Consider the following 15,906-nt stretch of genomic DNA (forward strand, 5'->3'; position numbering starts at 1 on the left):
GTTAGTCACTTCCAAATGGCCTGTGTTTGATCTCTTTCCTTTTACATGGGAAATATCTTATTGTCCAAACTAATATCCAAAAATCAAGAAGGAAATTAAAAGTCAAGACAAATGGCTACTGCAGGCAATGTAAAGGATGATTATTTACTTTTCTTGTTCGGATCTCAAGTTTTTAGTGTTCTTTATGGATTCGGAATGTTGATAATTTACAAGTAAACACAAATTCCTAAGAGCACCAAAGTTTTGCTTCCTTGTTCTAGTTTTTTAATAATTTGAAAGGCCGGGCGCCATGGCTCATGCCTGTAATCCCAGCACTTTGGGAGGTGGAGGTAGGAGGATTGCTTGAGCCCAGGAGTTGAAGACCAACCTGAGCAATAGCGCGAGACCCTGTCTCTACAAAACATACAAAAATTAGCTGGCTGTGATGGTGCTCACCTGTAGTCCCAGTTACTCAGGAGGCTGAGGTGGGAGGATTGCTTAGCCCAGGAGGCTGGGGCTGCAGTGAGCCATGACTGTGCCATTGTACTCCTTCCTGGGCAACAGAGCAAGACCCTATCTCAAAAAAAAAAAAAAAAAAGATCGAAATACTTCTTCAATATCATGATATTGTGGTTCCCCAGCAGATCACAGTGGGAAGAAACCAATGTGGCTCAGAGATGAGGATAAGGATGCATTAAAAAGAAAAAGATGATATAGACAGAAACAACATTTGCAAATGATGCCATTAAGATTTCCTAACAATCATTATAATAATAACATAAATAATTCAAGGAGGAGAATATTCTGTTATTGGCATTTCTTTTACTTTCAGACTATATTCTTGGTTATACAGCGATCTCTTCTTAGAAGACATTTCTTTTGGAAGAACCCATCTCTAATTAGCATGTATCATCATGTTATTTGGAGTTATATTTTATTTAGACATAGTCTATTTGTCTTTTTATTAAAGTTGAATATATCCTGGGAAAGATTTCTCAGTTTCAGACTTAATTATAGAACCAAGTAGTACAGAAGAAATGTGTAACAATTGCCCTGTTAATCTAGTGATTAACCTGTCTACTCTTTTTCCTTTAAATACCTGCAAGATTTAATTTGCAAAATGGCTATCATTCATGAAGGCTTGGAGAAGGACATTAAGAAATTACTTGCAATTAATGTCCCCTGACCACCTGAAGCTCAGGCCACATACTTGCTTTTGCCAGTTGCTGGCAAATATCTTTGGCCCACCAGTAAATGCACCTGGGGAGCCCCAGGGTTCTTCCTGTGGATTCCCCTTGGTTTTAACAGCCACCAGTGAGCCTCCTGAATCTGTCCAGCTGCACCCTGGCCTGCAGGATGATTGCTTGGTTTTGCAGTGTTCCTTAGTACTGTACTATAAGCCTATTCACTGCCTCATGTGTATAGTGGCTTCTCCTCCCAGGGTTTTAGTCTGCAGGCCAGTGGCTGAGCTCCCTTTTGGTCATAGCAAACGGGTGTTCTCAGAAAGCTCTGGGGAAAAGAACAACAAACCCAAGTGTTTCTTATTGTCTTGTATTTTGAAATACAGAATGGAATATTGATGAGCTGCTGCAAATGAGAGGCTGGAAAAAGCAATCACAGAGGAGGGGTAAACGTCAGTCCTTGGAAACACATTTGGGAGTAGGGTTAGAGCAGGAAGGTTCTGGCTAGTGAAGTAAAGTGTAGGTCCGTTTAAAGTGACACACAGGCTCTTGAGGAGAGCTAGAAAGTGTTCCAAGGCAGAGGTTCTGCAGACAGGGTGGGACATAGTACTCTAGAAAGCCATCAGAAGCTTGGGGAGAGGTATGTGACCTCATGTTCACCAAAACACTTGAAAACCACTTGAGAAACTCTGGTCTAAGGGATACCTGGAACACAGCATGGGGCAAGTAGGTTTGTACTGAAAGGAACAGCAACCACTTCTAGTTTTTAATGAGCCACATGTTGTGAGACTGTGAAGGAAACAGCAATAATTCTAACCCATTAGCCAGAATGGACATCAGTTTCTGAATAACATTAGATATTTTAAATTAAATGTGAAGAGTTGATGAAAACTCGAAATAGCTTCAAGCCCCAGTCTGTGTTCAACATTTTTCAGTGAGCGGAAGGAAGAGAGGGAGTTTTTCATAAATCAGAATCCGGTCACCTGGGGATCAATACACAGTGCTATTGACATATATGCTGGAATGTTAATTTTCAGACATAGTACATCTCTGGCCATCCTTCTGGTGAAGGCTAATGCTGTTCACTTAAATCAAGTTTTTTCTCATCGGAACTGCCGGTAATTATCCAATCCATCTAAAAGGCACGCTCCCTTTTAACATTAACCACAGTGTCAGATTGCATCAGCCACATTGTGTTCTGGTGACTGCTTCTGCAGAGTGATGAATGTGCGTGTTTGGAGTTCATAGTCCGACTGTCTGTTTGGGCAGTGGGCAGTTCAGTGAAACAAATGATCAGGAAGGGATCTATTTATTTGGGACGAACATTCTCCTTATTGATCCAGTCACTTACATTTCCAACTCTCTCACCTTGCCACTAACAGTGTTCAGCTTTATCTGAAGAATGAGCGTTTAAAGAATTATCTTACAGGTCATTTTGATGTGATTCTCTGATCATAAGCTGCATTCAGCACAAAGTTACTCTTTGTGCCTGACTTAAAAAGGAAGGTGTTGTGAGACTTTATTAATAAAAAACAGAGGAGGGAGAAGGTTCTGAGAGTGCTTGGTGAACTGTCCTGAGAAACCAAGAGATAATGATTATTCTTTTTCCTGGAATAGTAGTTATACTCTGTTGATTCAGTGCTTTGTTAAAAATGTTAAGTATCTGAATAAGTGCAGGCATAAAAGGGCAGGTGGCTTGCCTTGAGATATTTTAAGGTAGTAGATTAAGTCCTGAATTTTTCTTGTACACCTTTGCAATGTCTGGTCACAATGCCTAGTATAGTCGAGAGGCCCCATGGGGGATCCAAGCTATAGGCATGCCTGTGATTATCTTAATTTCTCCTCCATTTCAATACCTCTGGATAGCTTATGTACACATAAACAGAAGTGTGAACTGGCCAAGCCATATGTAATTCTTTGTTCCTCGGGCTCTTTGCTCTTTGTTTATATTATCACAGATTAGAATGGAATAAAGAAAATCTTGCTACAGATGGTCACTTCATTTCTGTCCCAGCAGTTGAGACTGAGAATGGGAAATTCCCTATGTTACAATCCACTCTTAGGGTGGCTGTGCACACAGTGGAATCTAATGTCTACTGACAGACTGCCTTTGGAGGTTACAAACATCAGTCTATTGCATTCTCTGTAAACACAGGCTGTGGGCCAGAGCTGGGCTCTGCTACAAGCTCTGTGAGGCAGATCAATGGTTTAATGAATCCATAAAGATGCTTGAACTCTGCTGCAATTTACTGAGCACTCTAGTTAAATGAAACTCCTGTAGTCTTTAACAAAGATAGTGATAATCGATGGCTGGGGATGGAAGTCCATGTCCAGCAGTCACAACCTCCCAGAAGTTGTGTTGTCTCATTGCTAACAGAGGTTTAGTCACATTCAGTTTCTGAGGCTCACTGTGTCTATGTTGATATTTGCTCAATGTTTGAGAGCTGAATTTGGCCCAGAAATGACATAATCTTAGTAATGTTGCTTCTGTGAGGACTATTTTTAAACTATGGAATATTATTTAAAATAAATTTCTTTAAAGTGACAAGATTAAGCTCAAGAATTATATTTGTTCTAACAGGTAGTGTCTTTGTAAGTCATCCCCATGATGAAAAGTAAATAGCGGAATAAAATCCATTCCTGATTAAGTCCTCAAAATGTCAAATTGCATAGTGTTGGAGAGCCCTGATTAATTTTTCCATGGTAAAATATTCCTCATTAGTTTGCTGTGGTTGAGGGTTAACCACTCCTATTATAAATTCAGACATTAATGTATTTTCTGCTTAATTCATCTTCGAATAGAGGAAAATATAGTTAGTAGATATGAATTTTGTACTTCCAAATGTGCTTTGGAAACATTATACTGATTTATGAGAGAGCTTTGGAGGCATGTAGGATAATTCCTTCATAAATATGTTGAAATGTATTTAAAGGTATTTAACCACCTTTGATCGTAGAAAAACAAGTGCCTTGACTTTGAAATGATTATTTTTCCATCGAAATAGTAGAAGTTATGACGTAATTCAAAGATTTTGCATCTGATTTTTGTCACAGAAACTTAAACTTTCTTAATGTTTAACTTTCTTGATTAGCTAATTAGCATTAATTAATCCCACTCCCACTCCAATAACTATATTTTGGAGGCTCAATGGGTAATAGGAATTTTGAGATATTATGACTGCAAATTTTCACTGGCCTTTTGCCAGACATTCCATGGTAAAGCAGTGATTTTTATGTGGATCTCATAAATGATATGTTATCTTATAATCTGTTTTGATAGAATGATTTCATATCATTTAAAATATGGTGAGCATTTTTATGACTGCACATCTAAATCTTTGTTATAAGGAGAATCTTTGAAGGATGTGACACTTTCTGTGATAAACTGTAGGATTGTATGTTTCATAAGTGGAGCAATATAAATTGATAACAAAGAAAAAGGGGAATTTGCCCGACAGGAGATAAGTACCTCCCTACAGCTTTTTGTTTTTAGCCACACTTAAAAAAAAAACTTGTTATTTAATCATCCATTCATTCTTTAAAAAATAAAATAAAAAGATATATTGAGCCTGTATACGGCACTAAGCATGTTTTAGTCTTGGTGGGTAGACTTTTGAACAAGAGAAAAAGTCCCTGTCTTAAAGGGACTTACACTCTAGCGGGGGAGATAGATGATATATACAGGCTTAAACATATCTTTGTAATATGATTTCAGGTAGGAAAAAGTGCTATAATAAAAAGCAGAGTGAGGGAGAGGGCTAGTGAAGGGCTGCTGTTTCATATCTGAGGATCACAGGAGTTATTTTTGAGGAGGTGACGTGTGCTGGGGACAGAAGGAAGTGACGGAGCTAGTTGTGTGTGAGGAGCTGGCAGCAGAGTGTCCTGTGGAGAAGGGGGAGTAAGTGAGAAACAGAGGTCCTCAGGCAGGAACAGTCTTGGCATTTTTGAACAGCAGCAAGAAGTACAGATGTCTGGAGCGGAATGATCAAGGTGGTGAGAAGCCAAATGACGTAGGCTGGAGAGGCAGTAGTTTGGAGTTCATTCTAAGTGTGATGGCAGCTATTGGAAGCTGTTGAGCAGGATGGGTGATATGATCTGATTTTTGTTGTTGATTGGGCCTCTGTGACGGAAGTAACACATTCAGGATCCCGTATGCAAGGGGGATTTGAAGAGTAAGAAAGGCAACAGCATTCACATCAAAGTTGGGTGTGTCTGGCAATAGAAAACTAAAAATATCTTATTCACTGAATTATTCATTAGTAGTTATGAAACATTTCCCAGTAGCAAAAGTGTATTGAACCAATTTAGTTTTTTGTGTGTGTGGTTTTGTTTTTTTGTGTGTTTTGTTTTTTTTTTGGGCAAGGTGTGGGAGGAAAGGCACCAGGGAGGGATGCTGTTGGGTAAGTGTTCTGACACAGCGATTTTCTTTCTGTAGGGCAGGTGGGGCTTGTCCCCAACCCGGTAGAGAGGTTAGGGCCTCAGAAGGCAAGCTCCATACAGAATCTAACTCTTGCTCTGAGAGACCTACAGCATCCACGGGCCTTCTCAAGCTCTAGCCTTAGAGGTAGCATTATGGTAAAGAGATGGTAATCTTGAAGGGACCATCTTTGGGTAAAGGGATTATTTTGATGTCAGCTTTATTCTGAGAGTAGGTATAGTCTGGTGATTACTTGTAGGGTGTGTCAGGATTTTTAATACAAGTAACAGAAGACCTCAACAATAAAAGATATCATTTGGAGTTATAAAGTCCCAAGCTAGTATGTACTTTGGGGCAGGTTGATTCAGCAGCACAGTGGTCTTATCACAGTCCCGTTTCTTTCCATCTCTGTATTCTTCCATGTAGAGTGTTGGCCACATTTCATGGCAAGCTCCCCAGTGGTCATGGGACAGCTGCTAGCAGCAATCAGGGCTACACACTTTCTTGTTGACATCCTCTGGAATGAGTCTCTGGCCTAGCATTCCAAAAAAAGAGTCTTGAAATTCATACTCATTGTCTATGCTTACATTACATGCTCATACCTGAATTGGGAGGGTGGGCTATGACGAGAGAGAGCAATGGAATGTCTAGCATGAGCCAATCAGGGCTTCCCTCTGAAATTCAGGTTGAGCTCATTTTCCTCTGAAGCCCATGGGCAGCATGGGGAGGGGTAGCTACCAGAATGAAAGTCAGGGAACTGTTAGGGAGGGGACCAGAGTGATGGCTGATGGGAGATGCAAGCAAATGCCCTCTAGAGAGAAAGAGAGATGATCTCCTGAGGTTAATTCATGAGGCTGAATTCTTTACACGATGGATGTGTCATGCCTGTCTACCCTTGACATGTGGGAGAAATAATCCAAAGTGGATTGAAAGATAAAAATGTGGTTAGCCGTCATCATAGGGTCCTTAGATGAACCACCTCTTCTACCCAGCACCAGCTGTTTTGAGAAACCTGATTATTAGAACATTGGCTCTAGTATCAGGACTGATGTGATCACTATTTCCACTCTTTTCAGACTTTAGAACATGAGATTGCACAGAACTAAAACAAAGGGATTGTGGTTAGCTGTTATTCCCATTTATAAATAGGAACAGTGGTGCCATTACAGCAGCAGATAGCTCAGAATATAGTTTCCTCAGTGTAAGTGGCCTAGGAGAGGCTGGCCAAGGACTGTATTGGATGTGGGGAGCTAGATGCTTTGGAGTAGAAGTCTGATGGGATGAGGCTGCTGTTACCCATCAAGAGTTAACTCGTCCACACATTGAAGCTACTATCTTTGTGGCTGAAAACTGTGTCTGCTAAACAGAAGGAAAAGAGAAGTGTTCAGAAGAATTGTGACACAGTCTGAGGCTAAATGCTTCAAGTTCAGGTGGCCAAAGGAGTAGAAGTCTTGAAGACTGCAGCTTTCACCATTATTAATTAATCTATTTATTTATGCATTCAACAAATATTTGTTGAACAGTAACTATGGGAGTTGCCGTGGCCAACAAAACCTGGTCCTTGCTCTCATGAAGCTTATAGTCCATTGAGGGACAGATGTTTATTTAAATAATAACGCAAATGTGAAGTCGTCACTGTGGCAAGTGCCATGATAGTATTGGGCACAGTCCCATGAGAACCTTTATCAGGGTGAGTTGACTTGTCAGAAGATCTTGAAGCTTCCCTGAGTAAGTGGGGCTAGCACTCAAATCTGAAGGATAAAGAGGTGTTAAGTAAGGAAAGAGAGAAGGAAGAGCTTATTGGGCTGAGGACACCACAGTGTGATTTCTAATTTTGGCATTGATATGCGCTTTCTTTGCTAATTTCATGTTCTTTATGAAGGAATGGCGCTTTACCCACAAACAAGAGAACAATTGAACAAACAAATATTCCCTGGAATGATAACCCCATTTATCCATTTGTTTGCAAATTCATTCATTCATTCATTCATTCATTCTACCAATCCTTGGGGATTAGTTGCTTGCCTGCTGGCCTCTGCCTGCTCTGACTTTTCGATCAGCTTCATGGACTATAGAGTTAGCACATTAATACTAAATCATTTCGGAGAGTATGCAGCTTGTAACTCTTGAAGGTAGAAGCATTTTATAAATACATCATAATACTGTAATAATCACAATGATAACTGTAAGAGCTTAAGTGTTCTTAACTATCAAATGTACTAGAAAAGCAACAATGACAGCAGAGAAAAGATTGGGCAAAAATGCACTGATTTGAGAGAGGAGAATAGTGTAATTACTGTCTGATGAATGTGGTTGAAAGATAAATGAGATAAGTCACTTTTTGCGGGGAAGAGCCACAGAAAGGGCAGATACTCACCCTCATCCCCACTAGGTGTGGTGAAGAGATATAGTTTTGTTATATATAGAGAGAACTATATAGTTACGTTAACGTTAATACAAGGGCAGACAGAAACTTTGGGTAATGATGAATTCCAGGACAGAGAACTGCTGATTGACACTCAGGTCCCTAGGCAAGACAATCGTGATAAAACGGAAAGAGAACAGCATGTTTGCTGGCACGGCAACAGAGGGTGATTCTTGTGGTGCAATGGTGTGGCGGGAAGGAAGGGATTCTCCTCCCTTTCTTTGTATTCTTTGTTTCAGCCTCGCATGTAATTTTAGTACCTAAAGTCATGATGACAACTCTATAGAAATGTAGTGACAAATAAATAGGCAGGTAAGTAATTCAGATTTTATCTTCCTGGGTCTTACCTGGGTGATGTGGACATGGATATTGCTAATGAGAGGTATCTGAATCTCTCTTCAGATGCCAGATGGGAGAGATGACCCTTATAAGGCTAGCTACACCTTTACCTGCCTCAGGTGACTGTGAACCAGGGACTGCAGTTCAGCTGGAGTCAGCAGCCTCCTCTCCAGATCTAGTAGCTCCTGAAAGCCACACATAATGACAGTCATTTCCAAAAGAGGCTGATTTTAAAACTGTGCTGAAAATGGCTAACAGCAGGCTGAAGGTTAAAGTAAAAAACTTAAAAACCATAAAATCTGCCTGGAGGCTATTTAAGCAAACTGTTTTAGAGGCACAGATGGTTCATATACCTCTGAGCCAAAAACAAAAAGGAAAAAGGGGACAGTAAAGCTGGCGTGATTAAGCAGACAAGTATGAAAGTTTTATTAGTACTAAAAAGGCATCCTTTAGAAAGTAAAAAATCCGTCTCAGGAAATTTGGAAGACGTATTAAAGACCAATGGGAAATGGAGAGGGCACACAGATGACATTTCGGAAAGCAACCAAAAATAGTGAAGACTGTACGCATGGACATTGGATATCAGAAGCTGTGCTCCAAGGACCTTAGGAAGCAGTGTAAGAGAAAGATGCCGTATATGGGCAATTGGGAGTAGCTTCCCTGTCCTGTATCAATCTGTGATGTAGAGCAGGTTTTATAAGGATTTTTTGCAACTTAAACAGTGGTTTGAATCTTTAAGGAAAATCAGTTGAAGCAAATTTGAGAAGCTTAAGTGCTGTAAATCAGAGGGTCCAAAACATATGAAGGAAATAAAGTATGATGTTGCTGATAGCATTAAAAATAGCACGTATACTTGAGAGTGGAGAAGTCACTGGGGTGCAAGGGCATCCAGCCTCTCTCAAGGGTCTGCTTTGCTGCATCCTGGATGCAGTCCTCCAGGTATCTTCCCATGAGCATGCTGGCGCCTGCACTCATGTGCACACAGAAAGCCTCTGGATTTGAAATGGGTGAGTGTCCATTATCATAATTTTGAGAAAAGCCAGACTCTAAGGAATGACAGAACAGTACAAAGTTTGCAGGGTCACTATTTGAGGAGGCTCCTTTGAGAAAAACAAAACAAACAAACAAAAAACAGTATTTATGTCTTGAGTTAGCATTTGATACAAACCTAAATAAAAATGACCAAATATAGCCTTGCAAAAAAGTAAGGTAAGTTGTTTGGATTTTCAAAAATCCAAGTAATTCATTTAGAGTTTGGCTGACTCCTCCTGAAGAGACCCTTGAGGAACATAAACAACTGAAGACAAGGAATAAAGCCCAGCCTTGGATTAAGAACCTGGGGAAGGAGTGGATGATATTCCTCAGGGTAGAGAAATTAATAGTGTACCATCCCAGGGGTTTATATTAGGAGTAGTGTCACTTGGTAATACTGATGGCTTATTTGGCAGTAGATGACAGGAAGGAGGTAGCATTCACTACTTTCTCTTAGTTGCTTTCATTTGAAAAACCACAGAGAATTACCCTCCGCCCAAAAAGAAACCCTTACAAATATATACATATAATGAGGTAACCTGACATCAGATGCAATTCCATTCACTCAGCCATCAGCGAGCACAAGGGAACAAAACGTTTTAATCCTCACGTCCCTGATATGGGCTGACTCTCAGCATCCCCAGAGAGGAGAACTTGGTCCCATCTGTAGGGGGCTCATTGTGTTACCTGCCTAGAGTAAAAAAATTAACGTTTAAATGTTTGACTGCATTAAAGACAATTTTTAAAAGCAGACAAAAGTACGTCAAACAATATGCTGATAATCAAGCTATGTCCCTTCTCACAGGAAATGTGTAGTTCATTCTTCTTGAACCTGATTTTTATAAAAGGCTAACGCTGAACTTTAAAAGAGTTGACACAGAGGATTAAATGTGTTTTTATTATACTGCAGGCTATACAAATATGGGATACAAAAGCCTGAAAAGGTATATTGTTGAGGACAAAAGAACTAATAATAAAACTAAAGAATTGGTAAATGTAAATGTAATCAAAATGTACTCAGCCTCTTAACACTCAGGGGTAACCTTTGCAGTTGGCCACAATGGGGAAAGACTAGGTCAGACTCCATGGCAGATGGTTTAATACATAGTACATACATTAATCCACGGAGGCAGCCCTGGAAATGCAAGCAGGTTGTTAATGATCATGGATAGTAGTTGTGAGCTGTTCCTGGTCTTGCAGTTAAGTGTTCAGATGTCATGCTTCGGGGTCCAAGTTGATGGGTTTCTGGGTTGGGAAAACATTTTCCCCCTTCTATTGCACTGCACAGCTGATAAGGCATGCTTCAGGGAAGGAGTGATTTAGACTACTGCAGGTGAATGGAAGGGAGAGAAGGTAGACTTACAACCCAGTCCCATGATTTAGTTTGATGACTTTTTACTTCTAGTTAAAGTGGTACCATTGAGAGTTCATTGAGTATGAGGGATTTGTGAATCAAATGTAAAGGAGCAGACACCACTGCTGTAAATCTAATAGAACTTCAAATCTGACATCAAGTCAATACTGCTTACCAACAACAACAAAAGGAATCCCCAATCTCATGGCCTACTGGCACCAGAGAAAACCATGTACCAATAATATAATTTTCTTTTTCTGTTTTCTTTTTGTTTTTTTTTTTTTGAGACAGAGTCTTGCTCTGTTGCCCACGCTGGAGTGCAGTGGCGTGATCTTGGCTCACTGCAAGTTCCACCTCCTGGGTTCCTGCCTCAGCCTCCCGAGCAGCTGGGACTACAGGCGCCCGCCACCATGCCTGGCTAATTTTTTGTATTTTTAGTAGAGACAGGGTTTCATTGTGTTAGCCAGGATGGTCTCCATCTCCTGACCTCGTGATGCGCCCGCCTTGGCCTCCCAAAGTGCTGGGATTACAGGCGTGAGCCACCGCGCCCAGCCAACCTATAATATAATTTTCAACGTTCTTTATCATGAATTGTTTAATAAGTAGAAAAGAATATTGACCTCCCAAATTTCAGCACAATCAAAGTTGACTTAAATAGTGAATTAAGGGCTGGGTGCAGAGGCTCACATCTGTAACACCAGCACTTTGGGAGGCTGAGGTGGGAGGATCACTTGAGGCCAGGAGTTCGTGACCAGCCTGGACAACATAGCAAGACTCTGTTTCTACAAAATATAAAAAAAATCACCCAGGTGTGATGGTGAACACCTGTAGTCTCAGCTGCTAGGGAGGCTGAGGTAGGAGAATTGTTTGAGCCAGGAGTTTGAGGTTGCAGTGAGCTGTGATTGTGCTACTGCACTCCAGCCTGGGTGACAGAGCAAGACCTTATTTCTAAAAAATAAATAAATAAATAAATAAATTGAATTAAAAACAGATAAACCGGCCGGGCGCAGTGGCTCAAGCCTGTAATCCCAGCACTTTGGGGGGCCGAGGCGGGCAGATCATGAGTTCAGGAGATCGAGACCATCTGGCTAACATGGTTAAACCCTGTCTCTACTAAAAATACAAAAAAATTAGCTGGGCATGATGGCAGGTGCCTGTAGTCCCAGCTACTCGGGAAGCTGAGGCAGGAGAATGGCATGAACCCGGGAGGCGGAGCTTGCAGGGAGCCAAGATCGCACCACAGCACTCCAATCTGGGCAACAGAGCGAGACTTCATCTCAAAAACAAACAAACAAACAACAACAACAAAAAAAAACAGATAAATCCAGAGAATTAATTATAAAGAGGCATACTCCCAAGCCCTATACTGGGGTGGAGCTCATGGAAGTTATTTGTATTATTGAAGCACAAATTGATTATAGAAGCTTAAATCAAAATAACCAGAATTAAATAGAAACTCAGGAAAAAAAAAACCCTAGATGCCTTATGGGGTTTCATTTAGGGTGTCATTTTGCATTAAATGCGATGAAAGAAGAAAGTTAAAGTGCCCCAGAGTAAATGGAGTTAGAACTTTATATTTCCTTTCCCCCAGAAGTACAGCTCCCCTCCTCATTCAAGCCCTTTTGCTCATTTTTTTTTTACATTTCTAATGTAGTCATTTAGTACTTAGTAAGTATCAGTTAATTTTTAATTTTTTATGATCATATAATTCAGCTCTGGATAAGGAGATGTTTGATGTTCCATGGCCTAGATATTTGGCTAAATATTTGATCAGGGGCAAGTAAAGGTGATATAGACCTCAATTTCTTTCTCCCTATGTGTGTAGGGAGATGGGGTGATGTACTGGAGAAAACCTATGTCAAAACAACCGTGATAGTTAACCCCTATCACCTGCACTCTCCAGGGATGTCCAGGGGCCTGGTAAGGTATGGTCATGTTACTCTAACCCAGCTGTGCATGGGAGGAGACATGGAGAGATGGGCCTTACTCATTCCTGGGAAGCCTGGCACCCATGGGGTCCCTCCTCTCCACACCTGGAAGGCCAGTGGGGACAGGAAGGAAGTTGGCAGCTTCCATTTTGGTCTTGAGTCCTAAAGCTGAAATAATCCTTTCTGTCACTCAGCCCCCTTGCAGGGCAGCTGCTAACAGGAACAGTTGACCCACACTCGGCTTGGACCAGGATACTGGAATAGTGTGGGTAGTGAAAGGCCAGAGAGAAGCATAAGAATGCATATTTGGGTACAGACTGGTGTCTGTAAAACAAGCACATGAATCTGCAACTCAGTGAGGTCCTCAGAGGATGGAACTTGTCTCAGGGCTGGGTGCCGTGGAAATTAGACATCTGAGACGTGGTTTCTGCTCAGAAGAGTGTCTGTTTGAGCGTGTGAATTGTCCTGTGCTTGTGTGGAAGTTGACTTCACGCCACACATTTATCCACTTACGCATTTATTCAACAAGCAATATTGAGCATCCGCAGTATGAAGGGCATTGTTCTGTGGCTGGGGATACAAAGATAAATAAAGAGAGGTCCTTGCCTCTGAGGCTCTCACAGTTGAATGGGGAGAGCAACCAGTAAACAAATGACATGATGTGAGGCATGCTGGAACTGATGCGGGTAAGAAGAACCCGGGCACCACAGGGTGACTTACCCAGCCCAGAGGCCAGGCTCTATGCATGAGTGAGCACATGCTAATTTAGAGACCAAAATATAGATTCAGGAAATGGGATGGATAGAAAAAAGGACGGTGAGGCTCAAAAAAGATGTGAGTCAGGAATGAGAGCGCCACATGTCACACATTAAAAAACCAATGCATAACCCTTACTGTCATTCCCATGTTGTGCTTTAACATTTTAAAATATCACGGACTTTGTAGGAATGCTTGAAACAATACTACATAACTTAAAAAATGGATTTTTGACATCATTTTGCCCTTGGGATGTTTTATGAAGAAGTCTTCAGGAGATAAAGGAGGCAAAGAAGCAGAGAATCTAACAGACAGGGCTCAGGGCTCATGGATAAAGTAATGCAGAGACTGACAGGCACGTGAAGAGTTTAATATGTGTCTGCACATTTCCTGAACTGTGCAACCTTAAAGTGGTGGTAGAAAACTTCTCCAACATCCTCCTCCTACGGCCGAGAAAACTGTGGCCCTGAGAAGTTAAGTGACTTGCAGGGGCCACACATCTAGTGGCGGGGGGTGGTTACCACAACAGATATATCAGCTCTGATGAAGTTTCTAAACTCAGTAACAAGAGGAGGCTGTAATTGCAGTTGCCTGAAGAGCAATAGAAACTGGTCTCCTTTATGATTAGAATATCAGTGTTTAGTAAGTGTACATAATAACTTTGTAAAATGGCTTAGTATGCTATTTTTCAAGCTTTTATTTATTATGAACCAGTAGTAAAAAATTTGTTTTATAATTTAGTACGCACACACACACAAACTCATAACCAGTTTCACAGAATCTAAGTCACTTTGATGATGGCGTTTTCTTGATTTTGCCAGAAGGTATCAATGAAGATTTTCATACAATTATGTCACAGCTACAACCTGGCTAAAAACAAGGGCAAAATGAATCATGATTTCAGAAGTGTTAAAATGTGAAAAATATCTGGGTTTTAGAATACGCAAAACAGGGCATATGTATTTAAAACTGAAATAAAAATTTCATGAAATAATACCATACTTATTTTCCTGTGTGATCCACTCTGATATTTTCTGTTTTATTTCATTTAAAAAATTGTTGATTGGGGCTGGGCGCAGTGGCTCATGCCTGTAATCCCAGCACTTTGGGAGGCTGAAGCAGGTGGATCACTTGGGGTCAGGAGTTCGATACCAGCCTCAACAACATGGTGAAACCTCATCTCTACTAAATATACAAAAATTAGCTGGGCATGGTGGTGCACACCTGTAATCCCAGCTACTTGGGAGGCTGAGGCAGGAGAATCGCTTGAACCCAGGAGGTGGAGGTTTCAGTGAGCTGAGATCGCACCACTGCACTCCAGCCTGGGCATCAGAGCAAGACTCCATCTCAACAACAACAACAAAAAAATTGTTGATTGGGACTTACTGATGAGCTGAGAAGCTTGAAAATAGTAGGTAAATAGGTATATTGGTATGAAATGTCATTATCATGGTAGGTTGGGGGCCTTCAATTTCTCACCGTTGGATGGATTCTCTTTGACCTTAACTCTGCAATTTCACCAAGTTAAACCGAGCTATGATCAGTTATGCTCAACTTTCATTGTGGGCTCTCTTAGCAGAGTTATATTTATCACAAAATGGCCAGTGGCTCCTCCATTTATAATTTAAGTATGCATTTGTCTTGATGGAGAACTGCAGGTGATGTGTGTATTGATCAGATAGTAAAAGGGAATGCTCAAATTTTAAGCTGTGCTATATGAAGCTGTTGTATCAGGTGAAAATGAAGCAAAGGAAGTCAGAGGTGAGTTGTTGGGGAGGACCAAGGGTGGGAAAGCCAGGGGAGTGGAGGAAGACCAGACAATGAGGAGGGGCAGCCTCCCAAGAAGCTTCTCACTGTCATTCTGAGCCTGGACCAAAGGGGAGGAGGAGTTGAATGGAGGGATAGACACTCACCATGTTCAGCCTGGTCTTCTCCATTCCAGTCAAATGAGATGAATTCCAGGCCTGTTCCACATAGCTGTGTTGTTAACCATGGCACGAGGCACATCCTTCACAAGGATTGGCCAACATCAGGGGAGTTGATGGGAGAACATCTTGGCTACCAAGTAGAAAGAGTGGCTGACTCTATTTTAAAGTCAGCCACTGATCAGGGGTGGTGGTGTGTACCTGTAGTTCTAGTTACTTAGGAGGCTGAGCAGGGAGGATCACTTGAACCCAGGAGTTAGAAACTGCAGTGAGCTATGATCACACCACTGTACTCCAGCCTGGGAGACAGTGTGAGACCCTGTCTCCATGAATAAATAAATAAATAGTAGACTGATGAAGACATAATAGCTAAGGCTTCCCCATTTAAATAGTTTGGTACTTAAAGCCAGATTAGAGATGGGGTGGGTGTGGAGTGGAGAATAAACCTGAGAACTTATTCATGTAACCAAACACCACCTGTTCCCCAAAAACCTATTGAAATAAATAAATAAATAATAAAAAAGAAAAAGGAAACTATCTGAGCTGGGAGTTTAACTGTTTGAATCATGG

General features: G+C 41.1%; 1 protein-coding gene across 9 annotated transcripts in view; it reads left to right on the plus strand.

The window, feature by feature from the left end:
* Positions 1 to 15,906, plus strand: part of SOBP (sine oculis binding protein homolog) — a 171,190-nt gene that overhangs the window by 47,144 nt on the left and 108,140 nt on the right. The window lies entirely within an intron of this gene.

The sequence above is a fragment of the Homo sapiens genome, chromosome 6 (genome assembly GCF_000001405.40).
Source record: "Homo sapiens chromosome 6, GRCh38.p14 Primary Assembly".
Lineage (NCBI taxonomy): Eukaryota > Metazoa > Chordata > Mammalia > Primates > Hominidae > Homo > Homo sapiens.